This window comes from Homo sapiens, chromosome 17, assembly GCF_000001405.40.
Source record: "Homo sapiens chromosome 17, GRCh38.p14 Primary Assembly".
NCBI classification, from domain to species: Eukaryota; Metazoa; Chordata; class Mammalia; order Primates; family Hominidae; genus Homo; species Homo sapiens.
Genome location: NC_000017.11, coordinates 34,250,692 through 34,269,037, shown reverse-complemented (window position 1 = coordinate 34,269,037; position 18,346 = coordinate 34,250,692). Strand labels below are relative to the sequence as shown.

Here is an 18,346-nt window from a genome sequence, read left to right as displayed (position 1 = left end):
AAAATCACCAACTAATCGCCTTCCATATCAGTGAAAAGGGGTTTGATGAGAGACCATGGGTGGGGTCCTCATGCCTATAACTGGGCCATGGATCATGGACATGGAATGCAAAAAAGGAAAATTATTCAATGGGGGAATTGAGCATTATACAACTTTGAATATTAATTTGGGAGCAATGCAAGGCTTTGATTCTGGTTTTAGCTTTATGTCGTTTTATCTTACCCCTATGACTTTGCTCAGGCTACTCATTCTCTCGATTATCTCTTTTTCAAATTGTTTTTACTCCCAGCTCCAGAAATTGGTGAAGAGTTGGCCTACTTTCTATCTCCTTATTTATGGAGTCTTCCCAGCTCACTCTAATGTAACACATTAGAACAGCATATTTTCTAACCCAGGGTGTACGTTCCATCCACCTGATGCTTCTAAAAAGCAGAATCCTTTCCTTTGACTTTTCTTTCTTTTTCTTTTTTCTTTTATTTTGGAAGACAACTATCATGGATAACCTGCTGAATGATCGATGAAGTTGGAGTAGAACACGGGGGTCCTGCCCAGACAGGTCAGGAGCTCAAGGAAGTACTCATGGGTTCCAGTTGGTTAAACCTTTTTCCTTCAGAAAATCCTTAAGTGAAGTACCCCAAGATGTCCCTGCCTAAGATCCCAGAGAAAATGCCTGCTTATATTTATGATGGAAAGACCTGTACCTGTCACCTACAAGACCTGGGAATGGTAAAAATAAAAGGCTGCTGAATTGTTGCAGAATGTTGTAAAAACTTTTAAATAATTTAAAAACAATATAAGCTGGTTGTAGAAAATATGGCAAAATTAGAAACACTTATTTAAAAAAATTGTTGTACATTATCAACATCAGAAGATGTAAGTGGTTAATTTCCTTCCAGATTAAAAAATATATATTTTTAACACTTAGTCACAAAAGAATGTCCTTCTTTGTCTCCAGTAACAATTTTTGTCTTAAAATTTATTTGTCTGATATTATTAACAGTATAGCCACTAGCTCTTTTTTGATTATCATTTCCATGGGGTGACTTTTCCATACTTTTACTTTCAAGTTATCTGAGATTTCAGATTTACAACATGTATCTTATAGATAGCATACAGTTGGTTTATTTTAAAAATTCATTTACTCAACCTTTGCTTCTTGGGGGTTTTAACACTTTTACATTTAGTGTAATTACTGATGAAATAGGATTACCATCTGATATTTTCCCTTTTTTATATATTGATGTCTCTTTTGTTCCTCACTTTTTTAATTACTACTTTACTTTATGAACCATAAATATTTTCTACTGTACCATTGTATTTCCCATTTTTATTATATATGTTTGAGTTATTTTCTTAATGGCTACCCTGGGGATTATCATTAACATCATAATTTATAACAACCTATTTCAGATTAATATTTTAATTTCAATAGTGTATAAAACTTGATCCTATGTAGCTCCATGCCACTCCTCATCTTAACATTGTTATCATAACAAATTACACCTTTATACATTGTGTCCCCCTGAACAGAGATTTATAGTTAGTGCTTTATGCATGTGCCTTTTAAATCAGATACAAGAAACAAATAATTTTAAACAAATAAACAAAAGTATTTATACTGTCTTTTATATTTACTTATGTAGTTACTTTTACCAATGCTCTTTATTTATTTGAATTATCATTTAGTGATCTTTTGCTTCAGCCTGAAGAACTCTCTTTAGTATTTTTTGGAAGGCTGGAATGTCTTCATTTCTTATTCACTTTTGAAAAGGGTAGCTTTGCCTTATCTAGAATTGTTGATTGATTTTTTTCTTTCAGTATTTTTAATATGGCATGCCACTACATTCCCATGTTTGTAATTACATTATTCAAAATAGTCAAGTTATAAAAACAACATAAGTGTCCATCAATAGATGAATGGATAAAGAATATATGGTATATACACACAATGGGATATTATTCAGCCTTAAAAAAGAAGGAATCCTTCCACTTGTGACAACATGGATGAACCTTGAGGACATTATGCTAAGTGGAATTAGTTTCAAAGGGACAAATACTGAATGATTCCACTTATATGAGGTACGTAAAACAGACTCATAGAAGCAGAAAATAGAACGGTGGTCACCAGGGGCCAAGAGGTAACCACCATTCTGTTTTGTTATGTGCACCATAGACAATAGACTTTATAGGGTGCCATTCAGGTATCAACTCTTTTGACTAGTGAGGGCAGCCCAGAGAGATGTCCTGGAGAGCACTGTGAGACCTTGCTTTGAGTTTGAGTTCATGGTGCTGTGACTGGCATGCAATGTTTGCCATGAGCACAGATTCAGGTAATGGTCCCATCCATACCCTACATTTACCAGGTGTGAATTTGATAGGCTGAGGTTTCCTTTGAGCCACATTGTTCTATGTTATCTGAACAAGGACCAAAATGTCTTGGGAAATAGGAGGCAGAGAAAAGTATTTGCTGCTTAGTGCCAGGAGAGGCAGTTGAACGACGTGATTAAGAAATGGTTGCCTGCATCATTGCCTGGTTTTCCTGCATAACCATGGTCAAGCTACTTATTCTATCTGTTATTCAGTTTCCACATCTGTAACAATAGAGATAATAAAAGTAACTTCTTTTCTTGGTTGTTGTGAAGAATGAGTTAAAAATTAAAAGTGAAATGAAAATAATCAGAATGCAGTTAGTGCTCAGTAAGAACTAGCTCTCATTATTATTAGTATTAGGAAATAAGGATGGGTAGTGGATGAAGAGATACTAAGGAGGAACTCAAACTGATACTGATAGCTTCCTGAGCAAGTTGTTCCTAAATCTGTCTTGTTTTTTCAAAACAGAGATATTGAAAGGGGGATTGACTTTCAGGAAATACTGCATTGGATATAAGAAAAGGAGATGAGTGTCTTAGAAAGAAGGGACAGGTGAAGTCCTAGAAGTCCTGCAAGAACTTGAGATGAGAATTATTCTGGGCCTTAGTGGGATTTTGGTCGTTCAGCCCAGTGAGGACATTCTCTGTGTGCAACCAGTAATTTAGCTTTGCCCTGTTGGGTGCAAGCAGAAGTCACATATGTCATCTCTGAGCAGAAGTTAATATTCTCATGAATTCCTCCACCCTCCCTTAACTATGAGGATGACTTGACGCAGATGAGGGTGCCCCTTTGACTCAGAGGCCATACTGCAGAAGATATATGGAGCAGAGACACAGCAAAGTTTACCAGACATGAAGAAAGTACGAGGTTAGTATCAGGGGAAGCTGAGCAAGGAATATAAGGAAACCCTCTGTACTATTTTTGCAACTTTTCTGTAAGCCTAAAGTTTGTTCAGAATAAAAAGTTAAAAACACAATATAACAAAACTTGTGTGGTGCAGAGAAAGCAATGCTAAGAGGGAAGTTTACAGTTGTAAGTGCTTACATTAAAAAAGAAGAAAGATCTGAAATGAACAATCTAACTTTATATCTTGAGGAACCTAGAAAAAGAACAAACTAAACCCAAAGCTACCAGAAAGAAGAAAATAATAAAGAATGGATCAGTGATAAATGAAACAAAAGAAAAAATCAACAACACAAAAAATTGTTGTTTTGAAAAGATCAACAAAAATGACAAACCCTTAGCTAGATTAAGTAAGAAGAAAAGAGAGAAGACTCAACTAAAATCAGAAATGAAAGAGGGAACATTACAATTGATGCCCCAGAAATAAAAAGGATTATTAGAGAATATTATGAATAATTGTATGCCAACTGATTGAATAACCATAATAAATGGATAAATTCCTAGAAACACAGTTATTAAGAAATAGAAAATATCAACTGACCTATAACTAGTAAAAAGCTTTTATCAGTAATCAAAAACCTCCCAAGCAAGAAAAGTTCAAAATCAGATGGCTTCTCTAGAGAATTCTACCACATATTTAAGGAAGATTTAATACCAATACTCCTCAAGCTCTTCTAAGATATTGAAGAGAAGGAAACACTTCCAAACTTACTATGTAAGACCAGGATTACCCTGATACCAAAGTTGAACAAAGGCACTGCAAGAAAGGAAAACTACCAGCAAATATACCTGATGAATATTAATGCAAAAATCCTCAACAAAACACTAGCAAACCGAATTCAAAAGCACATTAAAAGGATTATATACCATCACTAAGTAGGATTTATTTCTGGAATGGAAGGATAATTCAACATTCAAAAACCAATCAATGTAATATGCCACATTAACAGAATGAAGAACAAAAATTACATTATAATCTCAATTCATGACAAAAAAGCATTTGACAAAATTCGACATCTTTTCATGATAAGAATACTCAACACACTAGGAAAATAGTGTGGAAATAGAAACTACCTCAACATAATAAAGTCCATGTATGAAAAGCCCACAGTTAAAAACATACACAATAGAAAAAGACTGAAAGCACTTTCTTGCTTCTGTCATTTCAGTTAAATATAGTACTGGAATGAGACCCATCTGAACAAAACAAGAAAAAAAGTCATCTAAATTGGAAAGGAAGAAGTAAAATTATCTGTTTCCAGATGATATGACTTTATATGTAGAAAACCCTGAAAATTTCACACATGCAAAAGAACTGTTACACCTAATAAAGGAATTCGGCAGAGTACAAATACAACACAACAAATCAACACACAAAAATCAGACATTTTATATACATGAACAATAAACACTTTGAAAAGAAAATTAATAAAACAATTCCATTTACAATAGCATTGAAAAGAATAAAATATTAGGGATAAGCCAATATCTAGAAGTAAAAACTTGAACAACAAAAACTACAAAATATTGCCCAAAATTAAAGAAGATACAAATAAATGAGAAGACATCCCAGGTGTATGAATTGGAAGAATTAATATTGTTGAGATTGACAGCTTAACAATGCTACTCAAGTAATCTACAGATTCAGTGCAATCCTATCAGAATCCCAATGGTATCTTTGCCAAAATAGAAAAACCCATCTTAAAATTCACATGGAATATCAAATAATTCCAAATAGTCAAAAACAATTTTGAAAAAGAAAAACAAACTTGAAGGTCTCACTCTTATCAATTTCAAAACATATTACAATTCTACAATAATCAAAATAATGTGTTATTGGCATAAAGACAGACATATAGACCAGTAGAATAGAATAGAGAGCCCAGAAATAAAATCTCTTGTATATGGTCAAATGATCTTTGACAAGGATGTCAAGACCACTCAGTAAGGAAATGTCAGTCTCTTAAACAGTTGATGTTGGGAAAACTAGATATCCAAATGAAAAGATTAAAGCTGGACCCTTGCTGGGAGCACTGGTTCACGCCTGTAATCCCAGCACTTTGGGAGGCCGAGGCGGGTGGATCACCTGAGGTCGGGAGTTCAAAACCAGCATGACCAACATGGAGAAATCCCGTCTCTACTAAAAATACAGAATTAGCCCGGGTGGTGGCGCGTGCCTGTAATCCCAGCTACTCGGGAGGCTGAGGCAGGAGAATCGCTCGAACCCGGGAGACGGAGGTTGCAGTGAGCCAAGATCACGCCATTGCACTCCAGCCTGGGCAACAAGAGTGAAACTCCGTCTCAAAAAAAAAAAAAGCTGGACCCTTATATTATACCATATACAAAATTCAACTCGAAATGGATCAAAGACCTAAATGCAAGATGTAAAATTATAAACCCCCAGAAGAAAGTAGGGGGAAATCTTTATGATATTGGATTTGACAATTTTTTTTTTTTGAAATGGAATTTCACTCTTTTTGCCCAGGCTGGAGTGCAATGACACGATCTCAGCTCACTGCAACCTCTGTTTCCCAGGTTCAAATGACTCTCCTCCCTCAGCCTCCCAAGTAGCTGGGATTACAGGTATTCACCACCATGTCTGGCTAATTTTGTATTTTTAGTAGAAATGGGGCTTCACCATGTTGGCCAGGCTGGTCTTGAACTCCTGACCTCAAGTGATCTGCCCGCCTCAGACTCCCATAGTGCTGGGATTATAAGCGTAAGCCACTGCGCTTGGCTGTTTTTTTTTTTTTTTTTTTTTTTTTTTGTTGATATAACACCAAAAGCACAGGGAACCAAAGCAAAAATAGATAAATGGAATTACATCAAACTTAAACACTTTGGTGTATTGAAGGGCACAATCAGCAGAATGAAAAGTCAGTCTATGAAATGAGAGAAAATACTTACAAATCATGTAACTGATAAGGGGTTAACATTAGAATATATAAAGAATTTCAGGTTGGGCACAGTGGCTTACGCCTGTAATCTCAACACTTTGGGAGGCTGAGGCAGGCAGATCACTTGAGGCTAGGAGTTAGAGACCTGCCTGGCCAAAGTAGTGAAACCAAGTCTCTACTAAAAATACAAAAGATTAGCTGGGTGTGATGGTGTGTGCCTGTAATCCCAGCTACACAGAAGGCTGAGGTACGAGAATCGCTTGAACCCAGCAGGTGGAGGTTGCAGTGAACTGAGATCACACCACTGCACTCCATCCTGGGCAACAAAGTGAAACTCTGTCTCAAAAGAAAAAAAAGAACTTCTACAGCATCGACAATACAAAACAAATAACCCAATTAAAAATAGGCAAAGGATTTCAATATACATTTTCCAAAGATGATATACAAACGACCAACATGCATCTGAAAAGATGCTCAATATCACTAATACTAGAAAGTTGCAAATCAAGACCATAGGGAGGTATCACCTCACCTCCATTAGGATGGCTAGTATCAAAAAGACAGAAAATAACAAGCGAAGACAAGGATGCGATAAAACTGGAATCTTTGTTTACTGTTGGTGGGAATGTAAAATGGTGCAGCTACTATGGAAACAATATGGTAGATCTTAAAAAAATAAAAATATGATTACCAAATGATGCAGCAATCCCACTTGTGGGTATATATCCAAAGGAACTGAAAGCAGAATCTGGAAGAGACATTTGCATATCCACATTCAGAACAGCATCCTGCACAATAACCACGAGATGAAAACAACCCAGCTGTCCATCACTGAATGAACAGATAAACAAAATGTGGTATATACATACAATGGAATATTATTCAACCTTAAAAAAGAAGGGAATTTTGACACATGCCTTAACATAAATGAACCTTGAGAACATTATGCTAAATAAAATAACCATTCACCAAAAGACACATATTGTATAATCCCACTTACAGAAGGTACCTAAAGTAGTCAAATTCATAGAAGAGGAAAGTAGAATGGTGGTTGCCGGGGCTGGGCAGCGGAGGAAATGAGCAGGTATTGTTTAATGAGTATGCAGTTTCAGTTTTACAAGATGGATTTACAAGATGGAAATCTATTGCACAACAATGTTAAGTATATGAACATTAACAATACTGAAGTATACACTTAAAAATGGTAAATATGATACATTTCATGGTATGCATTTTTTAACCAAAATTTTTCAAAATTGAAAACTTTAAAAAAGAGATAATGATACCTTATGGAAATGAATTTTATAGCCTCCAAATGAAAGATTGACAGTACTTTTAAAAAATGAACAATTTATCTGCTCAATTTAAACACTCATTTACAAGGTGGAATAGGAACAAGATGCTTAAAGTAAACATTCTCATTGGACAAGGAAGACTGGGGGACACACAGCAATGACTGACTTGTAGCAATTCTGATATACTGCTGGGCAGACATCAAAAGGGACTCTTCCTGGAACAGGAACAGGGGCTCTGAGCTCACTTGCAGGAAGGGCTTCCTTGTCCGGGGCCCCAGATCCACCTTCTGTGAGGCCCTTGCTTGTCCATTTCTTCTCCTTGGCCATACTGTACATGGAACTCAGTGGACATGCCCTCCTAATTCAGTGGCTGTCATGGCTTGTTTCTAGCTCATGGAAGATTCGGAAGTTGTTTTATAGATAGAATAGTCAAAGGCTTTTTCAGTCTTGGCTTCTGATTTTCCTGGCAACATAATTTTCTCAAAAAATTACTAGCACTTTTCCAATCTGCCAGTAAAGACATGTAAAATCTCTTTCTACTCGCAGTGCTTGACATATTTCTGTGCTTCCTCCACACCCGACCCATAACTGTCTTTTAGGATCAGGCTGCCGGGCTAGAATGGGAATGCCACATTGTTAACCCACTCTCTTCCTGAAGCCACTCTGTCAAACTGAAAGGTTTTATGGATATTTTGTTGTTCAAATCATTTTTAAAAATTCCATTCCACTGCCTGGGATGGTGAACAGTTGTATTTCAAACTTTACAATGTCCTAAATGTCTCGACTCTATGCTCCCTTTTGTTCCTGATTGTAAATTGGTCAAGGCTAGGTCAGAACAAAGGACACTATGAAAACCCAAGTCAGAGGTTACCAGGACTGGCTGTTGGCTCCAATGACCTGAATATGAGAGAACTGAGGAGCACATGGCATCAAACTCATCTGTGCACCAGTATCCATCTTCTAGGGAACTCGTAAAATACAGCAATGGGAAGAGGAGCCTTCCCTGCATTGTAACATTCTAAATCAGAATCTTTGAGGATGTTGTGATGTTTTGGAAAGACCTCAGGTGACTCCAATATACCTTAGGTCACTTAGGAAGCATTTAATGCACAAATTAAATCCACAGCCTATGAACCCATAGATAAAAGGTGACTTGCAAAAGTTTACCTGACAATCTAGTCACCAAACCAGATACAGATCTCAAAGGCCATGTCTTAGTGTCCAACTACCTATTGTAAATCTTCACCTGGCTCCTGGCTGTGATTGTCCCAGTAGTGCTCCCCTCCCAAAGATGCTCACATCCTTGTAGCCAGGCGTGGTGTCTCACACCTGTACTCTGGGAGTCTGAGGCGGGTGGATCACCTGAGGTCAGGAGTTCGAGACCAGCCTGGCCAACATGGTAAAACCCCATCTCTACTAAAAATACAAAAATTAGCCAGGTGTGGTGGTGCACATCTGTAATCACAGTTACTTGGGAGGCTGAGGCAGGAGAATCACTTGAACCCAGGAGACAGAGGTTGCAGTGAGCTGAGATTGTGCTACTGCACTCCAGCCTGGGCAATAGAGCGAGACTCCATTTCCAAAAAAAAAAAAAAAAAAAAAAAAAGCCTACATCCTAATCGAATCCCTATGCTCTATAAGTATGCTACCTGACATAGCAAAAGAAATTTTATAAATGTGATTAACTTAAGAATCTTGAGATGAAGATGTTATCCTGGATTATCCAAATGGGCTCAGCATAATCACAATATAATCACCTTTTAAGATGAAGGCAGGAAAGTCAGAGTCAGAGACAAGATGTGACTATGAAAGAAAAGGAGTGAGAGAGAGAGAGAGAGAGGTTTTTGAAGACACAGGAAGAGACCATGAGTTAAGGAATTGAGGTAGCCTCTAGCAGTTGGAAAAAAGCAAGAAAATGGATTCTCCCATAGAACCTCTGGAAGGAATGAATATAGCCCTATGGACCCATGATAACTCTGACCTCCAGAACTATAAGACAATGTATTTTTGTTGTTTTAAGCCATTAAGCTTATGGGAATTTGTTACAGTAACAATAAGAAACTAATACAGATTTTGGTACCTGGAAATATGGTGCTTCTGTAACTAACACCTACAGATGTGGATGTGGCTTTGGATTTGAATAATGAGCATAGGCTGGAAGAATTTTGAGCATGACATAAAAAGCCTAGATTTCCTGGAACTGATTGTTGGCAGCAACAGGAAATGAATGCATTGCACTTGGCACTTTCTTCTAAAACAGAGTCTCACCACTGCCAATGCCCTGTGTTCAGTTTCATCATGAAAGGAATTCCATGCTTGGGTGGAAAACAGTATGGAGTCAAGACTTCCTGAAAATGAAGAGATGTGGCCTGCAAGGGGAATGTAAGCAGATTAATTTGGGGTTTGAGCATGTGGATCCCCCCTTTCTCTGCCTCCTCTCCTCCCAGACTGTCTGCCTCAAATCTGCCTGGCGTCAAAAGGTTGCTGCTCGGAAGCCGTATGATGAGGTCTCATTTGTTTGCATTCTATTCTCTTTTTGCCTCTTGGCATCTACTGCAATTTGAGATTTCACTCCTGACTGGTGATCAAGGCCAGGGAATGTAGGGGTAGAGGAGAGGCAGGGGACGCTGCTTGACCTGGAGTGAGGGTCAGTGAGTTTTCTAAATAGCTGTCAATAAATTGTCTGCTGACTGATATATCAGGGTACTTGGAGCTTTGAAGGGATTCGGTAGTCTGATTCAGGGACCCTGGACTGGCTCAGGAATGTAGAAGCAGAATCCCTTCTCTCCCTCTGCAACTCCAGTTAGTAGAAATGGAAGTTTTCCAACAGATGTGCTCCCAGATCCGAAAGGGAACCTTTCCTCTGGGTTCCTATTTGTAACACATTATCATACCTGTATGATCGATGTAGGCTCAGAATATCTGACCTGTCTTGACTGACAAAGCGAGTCAGCGCTGGATGCGGGGTGAGAACCTGAGTGTGCTTCTTGCCAGTCAAAGTTGTCCCCAGCACCTCATGCTGCCAAAAGCACTGCCTGCTCTAGGTTGACACAGTGGTCATTTCCCCACCAGACTGGGAAGTTAAGAACCATGCAGTTTATTCAACAGAGCAAGACATCTGCTTTCCTGAGTGTTGGCGTGGTGTGGGTGCCCAGGCAGGTCGAATGCTTTAGGTGGGACAAATATCATGCAAAGGAATACACACTTCAGGTGGCTATTTAGGAATAGAAGGCTCATCTGTTTAAATGGATGATTCCAGGTGCCTGAGATTGGGATGGGGGTATAGTAATGGAGGGAAACACATTCTGGTTTCAGGGAAGCTGCCCCCTTAAAATGTGGGTTGAAGATGAGGTTTTCATATCTGAAGTCACAGGTCTTTCTCCTCCATTTACAACATGCAGCATTTCACCCTGCATGGCTCATTCTTCATTGCTGCCTCTTTGGCTCCATATTTAGGCCTTCATCATCTCTTGCTTGGACCATGGCAATAGCTTCTCACTAGTCCGTATTTCTCTGTGTATGTATAAAATCTATAAGTTACATTTCCTGAAACTTATCTCTGAATCTCTAAACATGGCACATCCCTCCTCATTGGACTGAAGATTCTCAACGTTTCCTTTTAACCTACAGAGTTGAGTAGTAACTTTTCACCCTAACATTCAAATCCCTTGACTCAACCTTCCTTTCTAATTGTCATCCCTTGACATTGGTGTGGGCCCGAATTCGCATCTGGTTCATTGGTTTTCTCCCTGCTTGATGTACACATCATCACCATTTCTACCTCCAGGTATTTGCTCCCACTCTTCCTTCTCCTTTCTTAATGATCCTATAATTTTCCTAGAAAAGCCTTCTTCATTCATAAATAATAAGTTCAGGTCTCATCATCTCTATGAAACTTCAATCTAATCATCTTATCTATGGTGATTAACTCTTTCCTTATTTCCTAATACTGGCAGTGTCTGTATTACTCCAGGTTGGGGTATTAATTGGAGAGGTACAGATTGGGGGGTGGGTAGCCCAGTTAGGGGGCAGTTGCAATATGTTAAGGGAAGAATTGCATGCAGGGGTCAGGGTCTGTGAGAAAAGGAATGGGGGTTGGGCTCTTGCTAAATGGGTGACCAGGGTCATTGGACTCTGGGCTGCTTATGTTGAAGACTGGAAGGGTGGTGCTTTAATGCCTAACTGGCCTGCCATAAAGATTCTTCTACGGAGACTCAGAGGAGACCACCCAGTGGAGAAGACCGGGGCCAATCCACTTTCCCATTCCTTCAAAATGTAAGCCCCACCCTCTGAAATCATGTTCCTTTGTCACCACCAAGCTCATACTCTCAGCTTTGTAATTTCCTTCAAGAAAACACTGGAAGTCAGGTTTTGTACAAAAATATATTTATTTGGTGTAATAGTTACAAAATATTCATTTCCACAATAATATTTTAGCAATGCATTGGAATGTTAAAAAAAATTCTTTGTATTAATGATTCTTGCAAAGACCCTCAAAACATCCCAGGGGTAGAACTGTGGTTCAAGAGGAAAAGCAATTTCCCCAAGTCTCTGTATCTAAAAAACACTAGTACCATGAAAGATAAACTTAAAACATCAATAACTTAAATAAGAATTAACATTACTTAAGGCATAATGTTTCACATCAACAAACAAAATTCATTATAATAAAATAAAACAGGGTGTCTGGGGAAAGCTAGGGGAAAATAAGTTAGCTGCAGATTCTTGGGTTGTGGAGTGAGTGTTCAAGTCTTCGGAGTTTGGGTTTGCTTGTCCAGGTGGTCCATGGAATCCTGAACCCACTTCTGCTTGGGGTCAGCACAGATCTCCTTGGCCACAATGGTCTTGAAGCTGTGGGGAGGGAGGACAGAGTTAGATGAAGTTCCTTTGCAGTTTTGGTCTAGAAGTGCAGCCCATTCTGCACCAAAGGGCTGCCATGGGAGCTAGAGGAGGAACGCAGGTGGAAGGAGGGAACCCAGGGCAAACTGCTCCTATAGGTGTCCAGGTGGAGCCATCCTGACTTCAAGCTAAAGAAATTGGGGTGTTCTGAATAGGCACCCAGGTGGAGAGTGATGTTGGGGTTCACTTTTTCCCTTGGTGCCTCAGTTTTCCCATTGGGAACCTTTGTACATTAAGTTAAATAGTGCACTCTCTGACTCTAGGTTTATGAGGCTTGTCCCTTGCTCCACAAGGAAGAACTTCAGGCCAGGGAAGGTTGGTGTGCTGAACTCACATCACAGCTTCTTTGGGACACTTGCTGCTGGTGATTCTTCTATAGCTCGCGAGCCTCTGCACTGAGATCTTCCTATTGGTGAAGTTATAACAGCAGGTGACTGGGGCATTGATTGCATCTGGAAAATAAACCACAAAGAAAAAGCATTTTAGGATGAACTGGATTATTCTGATCTTAAGAGCAGAAAAGAGTCATGAGGAAAAAGCAAAAGGCAGGCAGGAGAAGACAAAGAGCTCATTAAATCCCAGTGCTTCTGCCTATACCTCAGAGCTAGAATGTGATCTTTGACCCAATGACTCAGTTTCCTATGCTGTAAAATGGGTATATAACATTGATAATGGACAGAGAGAAGGAGGAGCTGTTAAAGCTAGATAATGCCTACAAGTGTCATTAAGACGGACCAATAATCCAGATGATCAGCACCAGGGAAGATCAGCTGGGGAGCCCCACTATGAGCCTCCTTTTAGACTCTGAATAGGCTATGCCTGGTCATGAGTTTCCCTGATACTCATTACCTCTGCAGAGTCACCGTCTCTGGAAGCTAAGGTGAATGAAGCACAGACCAGATTCTGGGTCTCCAGCGTGTCTGGAAACAGCCTACACACCCACCCTCTCTTTGATTACCCTGATCCCCAAACTCTGCTGGAAGCAGCTGGGGGAGTAACTGCGCTGAGTGTGTTCCCAGAGCTGGAATCCTGGAAGGAGCTGGATTTGGGGTTCACAGCTGGAATTCTAGTTCAGGCTCTGCCGAGCAGCAGCTGTGTGGTTGGGCTCACCCCTTGTCCTTTTCTGAGTCACCTTATCTTGGAAAAGTAGCGTTAAAGCAAGACTGTGGGTACCACGTCTGCTTGGATGGTCCATGATAACTCAGAGAGAAGACAATGTGGTTCAAGGAGAAGAAGAGGGGGCCTTACCTGGCTGAGCGAGCCCTTGGGGAATGAAGGTGGCTGCTATGAGCAGCAGGCACAGAAGGGCGGCAGAGACTTTCATGCTGGAGGCGAGAGTGCGAGCTTCAGTTTGAGAATTGGATGTTTCTGGGTTAGTCTCAGCCTCTCGGTTCCTCTGGCTGCTGTCTCTGCCTCTTATTGAAAGCGGGCAGAGGGAGAGAGGGCGGAGTCAAGCAGGAGGAGGGATCTTCCATGAGTGATAAGTGGGCTGTTAAATCTGCTGAGCAAATGCAGCATCCTGTGGATTTCCAGGAAGTAGGAAAGGGAAGCAGGGGGTCAGGACGAGACACTTTTTCCATTCACTGCTGAGACCAAATGAGCAAATGGGGAGGATGGGGTGCCATTAAGCCCAGACTGACCACAGATGTGAACTAAGAGGGTTATTTTTAAGGATTCTGCTTTCTCTGAAGCGAAAACTGCAGAAAAGGAAGGAAGCGAGGAAACTAGATGAAAGCATGTCAGGCTCGCTGCCAGCTTACCTTCAGGCCACATTCCAAGGGGCCTCCCAGCCAGGAAGGAGCTCTCAAGCTTTGGCCGGCTCCCTGACAATGCATTAAATCCATTTGCTCATTCAAATGCAGAATAGTAGCATCATAGAAGCCTAGCAGAACTGTAGGATTGTGTAAACATTGAACTGAATTCTAAGAGTTCTAGGGTTTCAGACTTGGACAAAGGCATAGACAGCATGTAGTGCTGCAGAAGAAATGCCAGTGTCATACTCACAGAGTGCTTACTCTGCCAGGAATATTCTCAGACCTTTACAAATATTAACTCTGTAAATTCCCCAACTTTATCTAGTAGGGATTGCTAATTTTCATGTTATAGATCAGGCAACTGAGGCACAGAAGGGTTAAATAGCCTGCTCAAGGTCCCCTCGAGCACAGAACCCAGGCAGCCCTGTCCCCAGTGGGCTGCCACCTCTCTGACATACTGCTGGAAGGAAACGTGTACAAGTCCTCCAACTAGTTGCCTGCTTGGGTCCTCTCTCTGTCCTCAGCATCTTCCAAATGGGCAGACAGCTAAAGGAGAATCTAGAAACATTCCTCATGGCTAAGTCATTATGAGTTAGGAGGCTGTTGCTAGCATAGCAGGCAGCAGTGGACAAGAAGTTCATCCCTGGTTATGGCAGCTATTCTCCTGGCTTCCTTCTTAATTTCCAAGGGACATGAGTAAGCAGTGGAGGAGTATTTCGGGAATTGGAAAGCCTGACTTCATTCCTCAGTTGTGCCTTAGATTTCCTCAGAAACTACAGAAGCACACTGATAAAAACCCAAAGACCTTAGAATTCATTTCAGTGAACTGTTGTCTCTTACAAATATGATAGGAGTACTTGAGGCATGTTAATGGCTGGGCTGAGTTTAAAATTCTGATCTCTCGATTCTCCTAGCCCACTGCCTCCTCCTTCTGAGCCTTGCGGTGCCCTTGCCCAATGGGCATACAAAGACTAGTGACTTCTTTCATAAAGGGTCACTGAGGCAATGTCTATAAATGCATGGGGTTTCTTGAAAGAAAACACTTTTCACTACACTTGTAAAAAGAAACGGGTTGTATTCAACAAATGACTGTTTTATTTCTAGTAAGTGGTCAGTAATGGCATTGTTGAGTGCATTCAGGGAGTCAGGTATGGTGCTGACATACTTTCCAGCGCTGCCTGCCCAGTCCTCCAACCAACCCAGCTTTCGTTAGGTTAAAACTGAAGTTATTTGTCCAGTAACTCAGACAGAATAGTAGATGTGCTGAGACTCCCACCCAGGATGTTTCCATTCCAGAATCTCTTCTTCCTGGGACTAGACTTGATGTCTCATGATGGATATTGGTTTCCTGGAGAATCCCAGAGCAGAGACTCTATGGAGTGGCCATTTCAGACTCTGGTGGAATTACAAAAAGCAGGATGAAGAGAGAACAAATCAACTCGAGCCCTGCTTTGCTTGTGCCTCTTGAGGAGCCTTATTCTTGTTCTGCCTGAATCTCACTAGTTACTCCTTTTCTCCCCAACCAGTGTTGAAACTTCTCTGTGTTTGTCTCAGTCCTCTGCTCATGCCTCAATCCATTCTTATCCAATGAATAAAATGTTTCCAGGACTAGAGACTGTGCAACTTTGTGTAGGAATTTCTTCCTAGGCCATCTCACCTCATCTTCCAAGAAGTTTTCCTCATATCAGGGGAAACCTCTCTCTAATCAGTTAGTGCATCCTTTACCATGAACTTGGTGGACCGCATTCAATTTCCCTTTATAATCCAGTCATGCTTCGGGTTTTCTCTAGGTTAACAAGCTGAAAGATGCTGAGATCTTTAAATAAGTCTCTCCTGGCTTAGTCATATCAGCATCACTCATAGAATCCCAGAATCAATGGGCTTATAGACATCCTGTGGCATGACCACTTGTTTTTATCTGATAAAGCCACAATCCAGAGAAGGAGACCAATTAGCCCATGGTCACAGAGAAAAACTTCCCAGCTTTGCTGGCTGAGTGTTCACATAGGCTTCTGAGTGTTGGAAGCATGTCTCTACTTCAGGAAGGAGTTGTCATCTCTGGAAAGTGACTTGGCCTTTGCATATATCAGACAGTAAACACAGGGAAGGTGAAGGGTATGAATCAGAAAAGAAAGTCTTCTGGAAAGTGATAGCTGTCTGCCTCCCACTTCTGCTCTGTCAAGAAAAGATGCCCTCCCCCGCTGGGAGGTCAGTGCTGGCGTGAGAGAAGTGAGTGGAAATTCCCACTCTGAGGAGGCAGCTTTGGAAGTTCCCAGATCCCGTAGAAGAGAATGCATTTGGCTGGAGCCTGCATTCCAGATACTGGGCCCGGAGCCAGGGAGCTCTCACATGGGGCTGTGCTGGGAACATCTCGGCACAAGCCTGGGTTAGGCTCTGGCACAAACCTGGGTTGGACTCTCGCTTGGGGACACACAAGGGAAAGGCCCCCAGAGGGGCTATGGGGAAAATGAGGGTCAATGCTCTGATGCTGTCCAGAATCCTCAGTTACCCCGGGGCCTCCTCTCTATCAACTCATAGATAAAGAATGGAAAAGCTCCTCTTGGTGAATAATGCTTTCTTCATTCCTCCCGGGGTCTGACCCCACCACTAAGATCCTCTGCATGAACCTTGGTCATCGCTGCAGACTCCCACTCAGTGTCAGGGGTGAAAAAAAGAGGAAGTAAAAGTGAGCTCTCTGGAAAGATCTGAAGCCACTGCCTGGGCTCCCACCAACTTCTGCGGTTCACTTGTCCCTCCCCACCTAGTGCAGGCTCCCTTGCTGGTGCTCCCTTCACTCAGCCTTCAAGAGAGATGCACCGTAGCTCTGCACTCACCATGTCCTTTCTAGACAACCCCCACTCAAGGCCTCTCCTCCAGGCTAGCTCCAGGTAGAATAGAGCCCATTTTCCCAGGGCCGCTACTCTGCAATCCCTTTCCTGTCAAGGATGAAAATCTTTCCTTAATTTTTCACAGAATGTCAGAAAATGAACGAGACCTTAGAGACCATCTACCTGTTTCTCTGATGGGGAGACTGAGGCCATGAACAGGTTAGTGACAGGCTCAAGGTGAGATAGAAGACGAATGGCTACATTTGTGCTGGTTTGCTTATTTCTGGGCTCTCAATGTAGTGCCCTTTGTCATCTACTGCACTATCTCTTTATTATAACATTCATACAATTAGCACATACCCTGTGCAGAGCACCAGGTAGAGGACTGCACAGGGAGGGAGAAGTGAATTAGACATGATGCTTCCTTTTCAGAAGAGATGCTAAAGTAAGAATCCATGGAAAGTAGGACTGAATTTAGGAATAAATCTGATCAGTACTTACCCCAAGCTTCCAGCATCTAAGATTTCTTGCTTTCTGGATTGGATCTGCCCCAGGTCTAATTGCATGCAGTAGCCAAGAATACTCCTGAGCATGGGAATAGGGGTGGCGATGGGCATAGCATATGAGAACAGAAAGAGTAGTGGCCTGAGTTGGTGGGTGGGGGTGATGGTGGTGAGGAGTAGTGATGCCTGAGGAAGCAAGAGGCTTGTTCTTTAGATTGTCTTCTGAGCCAGCCCTCACAGATTAGCACCTGAGCCCTAGAGGGAGGAGACTGATGTGGGTTGGGGGTAAGAGTTAAATAAATTCTTAGGCTAAAGGCAGCGTGAGCCACTCTACAGCACTTTCGTGTTACACATTGGGGGAGAAAATGCTTTCCTCATTTGGGGCTTGCATTGTACAAGGTGGCCTGAGCAGTGTGATGAGGGGGTCAAGGTGCCGAACTGGGAGAGGGGGATGGGCAGGTCTTAGGGAAACAGAGATCAGATGGAGTGGAGACAGAAACACTTTTTTGACAATAGCCTTTTGTTGACTCCTTTAGCACCTGTGCTGGGGTCATCTAAGGGAACAGAATAATTGCATTAACCAGAAAGATACAGAGCGGTGAGAGTCCCAGCTGAGGGGCCCAGGGAAGGCTCGTGATGGTACATTTAAGATGGGCTCAAGGGTTGGGCAGATTTTTGAACCTTGGCGATCGGTGGGTGAAGGAGGGGTCACATTTTGGGCAAACTTACAAAGGTTGCAAATTGTAATGTGCTTACCCATCTCCTTAGGATCTTGCTAAAGTAGAGATTCTGACTGTAGGTTTGGGGTGGGCCTGCGGTTCTGCATTGCTAACCGGTTCCCAGGTGATGATACTGCTGCTGGTGCATGGCTCTGCTAGAACAACTTTAACATTTGTC

General features: G+C 41.4%; 1 protein-coding gene across 1 annotated transcript, besides 3 other annotated features; it reads right to left on the bottom strand.

Moving 5' to 3' along the window:
- CCL2 (C-C motif chemokine ligand 2) lies at positions 11,835-13,753 on the bottom strand. Its single transcript, NM_002982.4, has 3 exons — positions 13,613-13,753; positions 12,699-12,816; positions 11,835-12,316 (listed from the first exon to the last, which is right to left on the bottom strand). The coding sequence occupies exons 1-3, from the start codon at positions 13,686-13,688 to the stop codon at positions 12,211-12,213; spliced, it is 300 nt and encodes a 99-aa protein (NP_002973.1). The 5' UTR covers positions 13,689-13,753; the 3' UTR covers positions 11,835-12,210.
- Positions 13,082-14,056: an enhancer, noted in NCBI's record as "OCT4-NANOG-H3K27ac hESC enhancer chr17:32582001-32582975 (GRCh37/hg19 assembly coordinates)". NCBI's record gives its function as "activates a minimal SCP1, AML or CMV promoter by ChIP-STARR-seq in naive H9 embryonic stem cells {active_cell/tissue: H9 hESC(naive)}" and the evidence as "EXISTENCE:reporter gene assay evidence [ECO:0000049][PMID:30033119]".
- Positions 14,057-15,031: an enhancer, noted in NCBI's record as "OCT4-NANOG-H3K27ac hESC enhancer chr17:32581026-32582000 (GRCh37/hg19 assembly coordinates)". NCBI's record gives its function as "activates a minimal SCP1, AML or CMV promoter by ChIP-STARR-seq in naive H9 embryonic stem cells {active_cell/tissue: H9 hESC(naive)}" and the evidence as "EXISTENCE:reporter gene assay evidence [ECO:0000049][PMID:30033119]".
- Positions 15,975-17,174: an enhancer, noted in NCBI's record as "BRD4-independent group 4 enhancer chr17:32578883-32580082 (GRCh37/hg19 assembly coordinates)". NCBI's record gives its function as "activates an origin of replication core promoter dependent on BRD2, P300/CBP, MED14 and CDK7 cofactors, and independent of BRD4, by STARR-seq in HCT116 cells {active_cell/tissue: HCT116}" and the evidence as "EXISTENCE:reporter gene assay evidence [ECO:0000049][PMID:35650434]".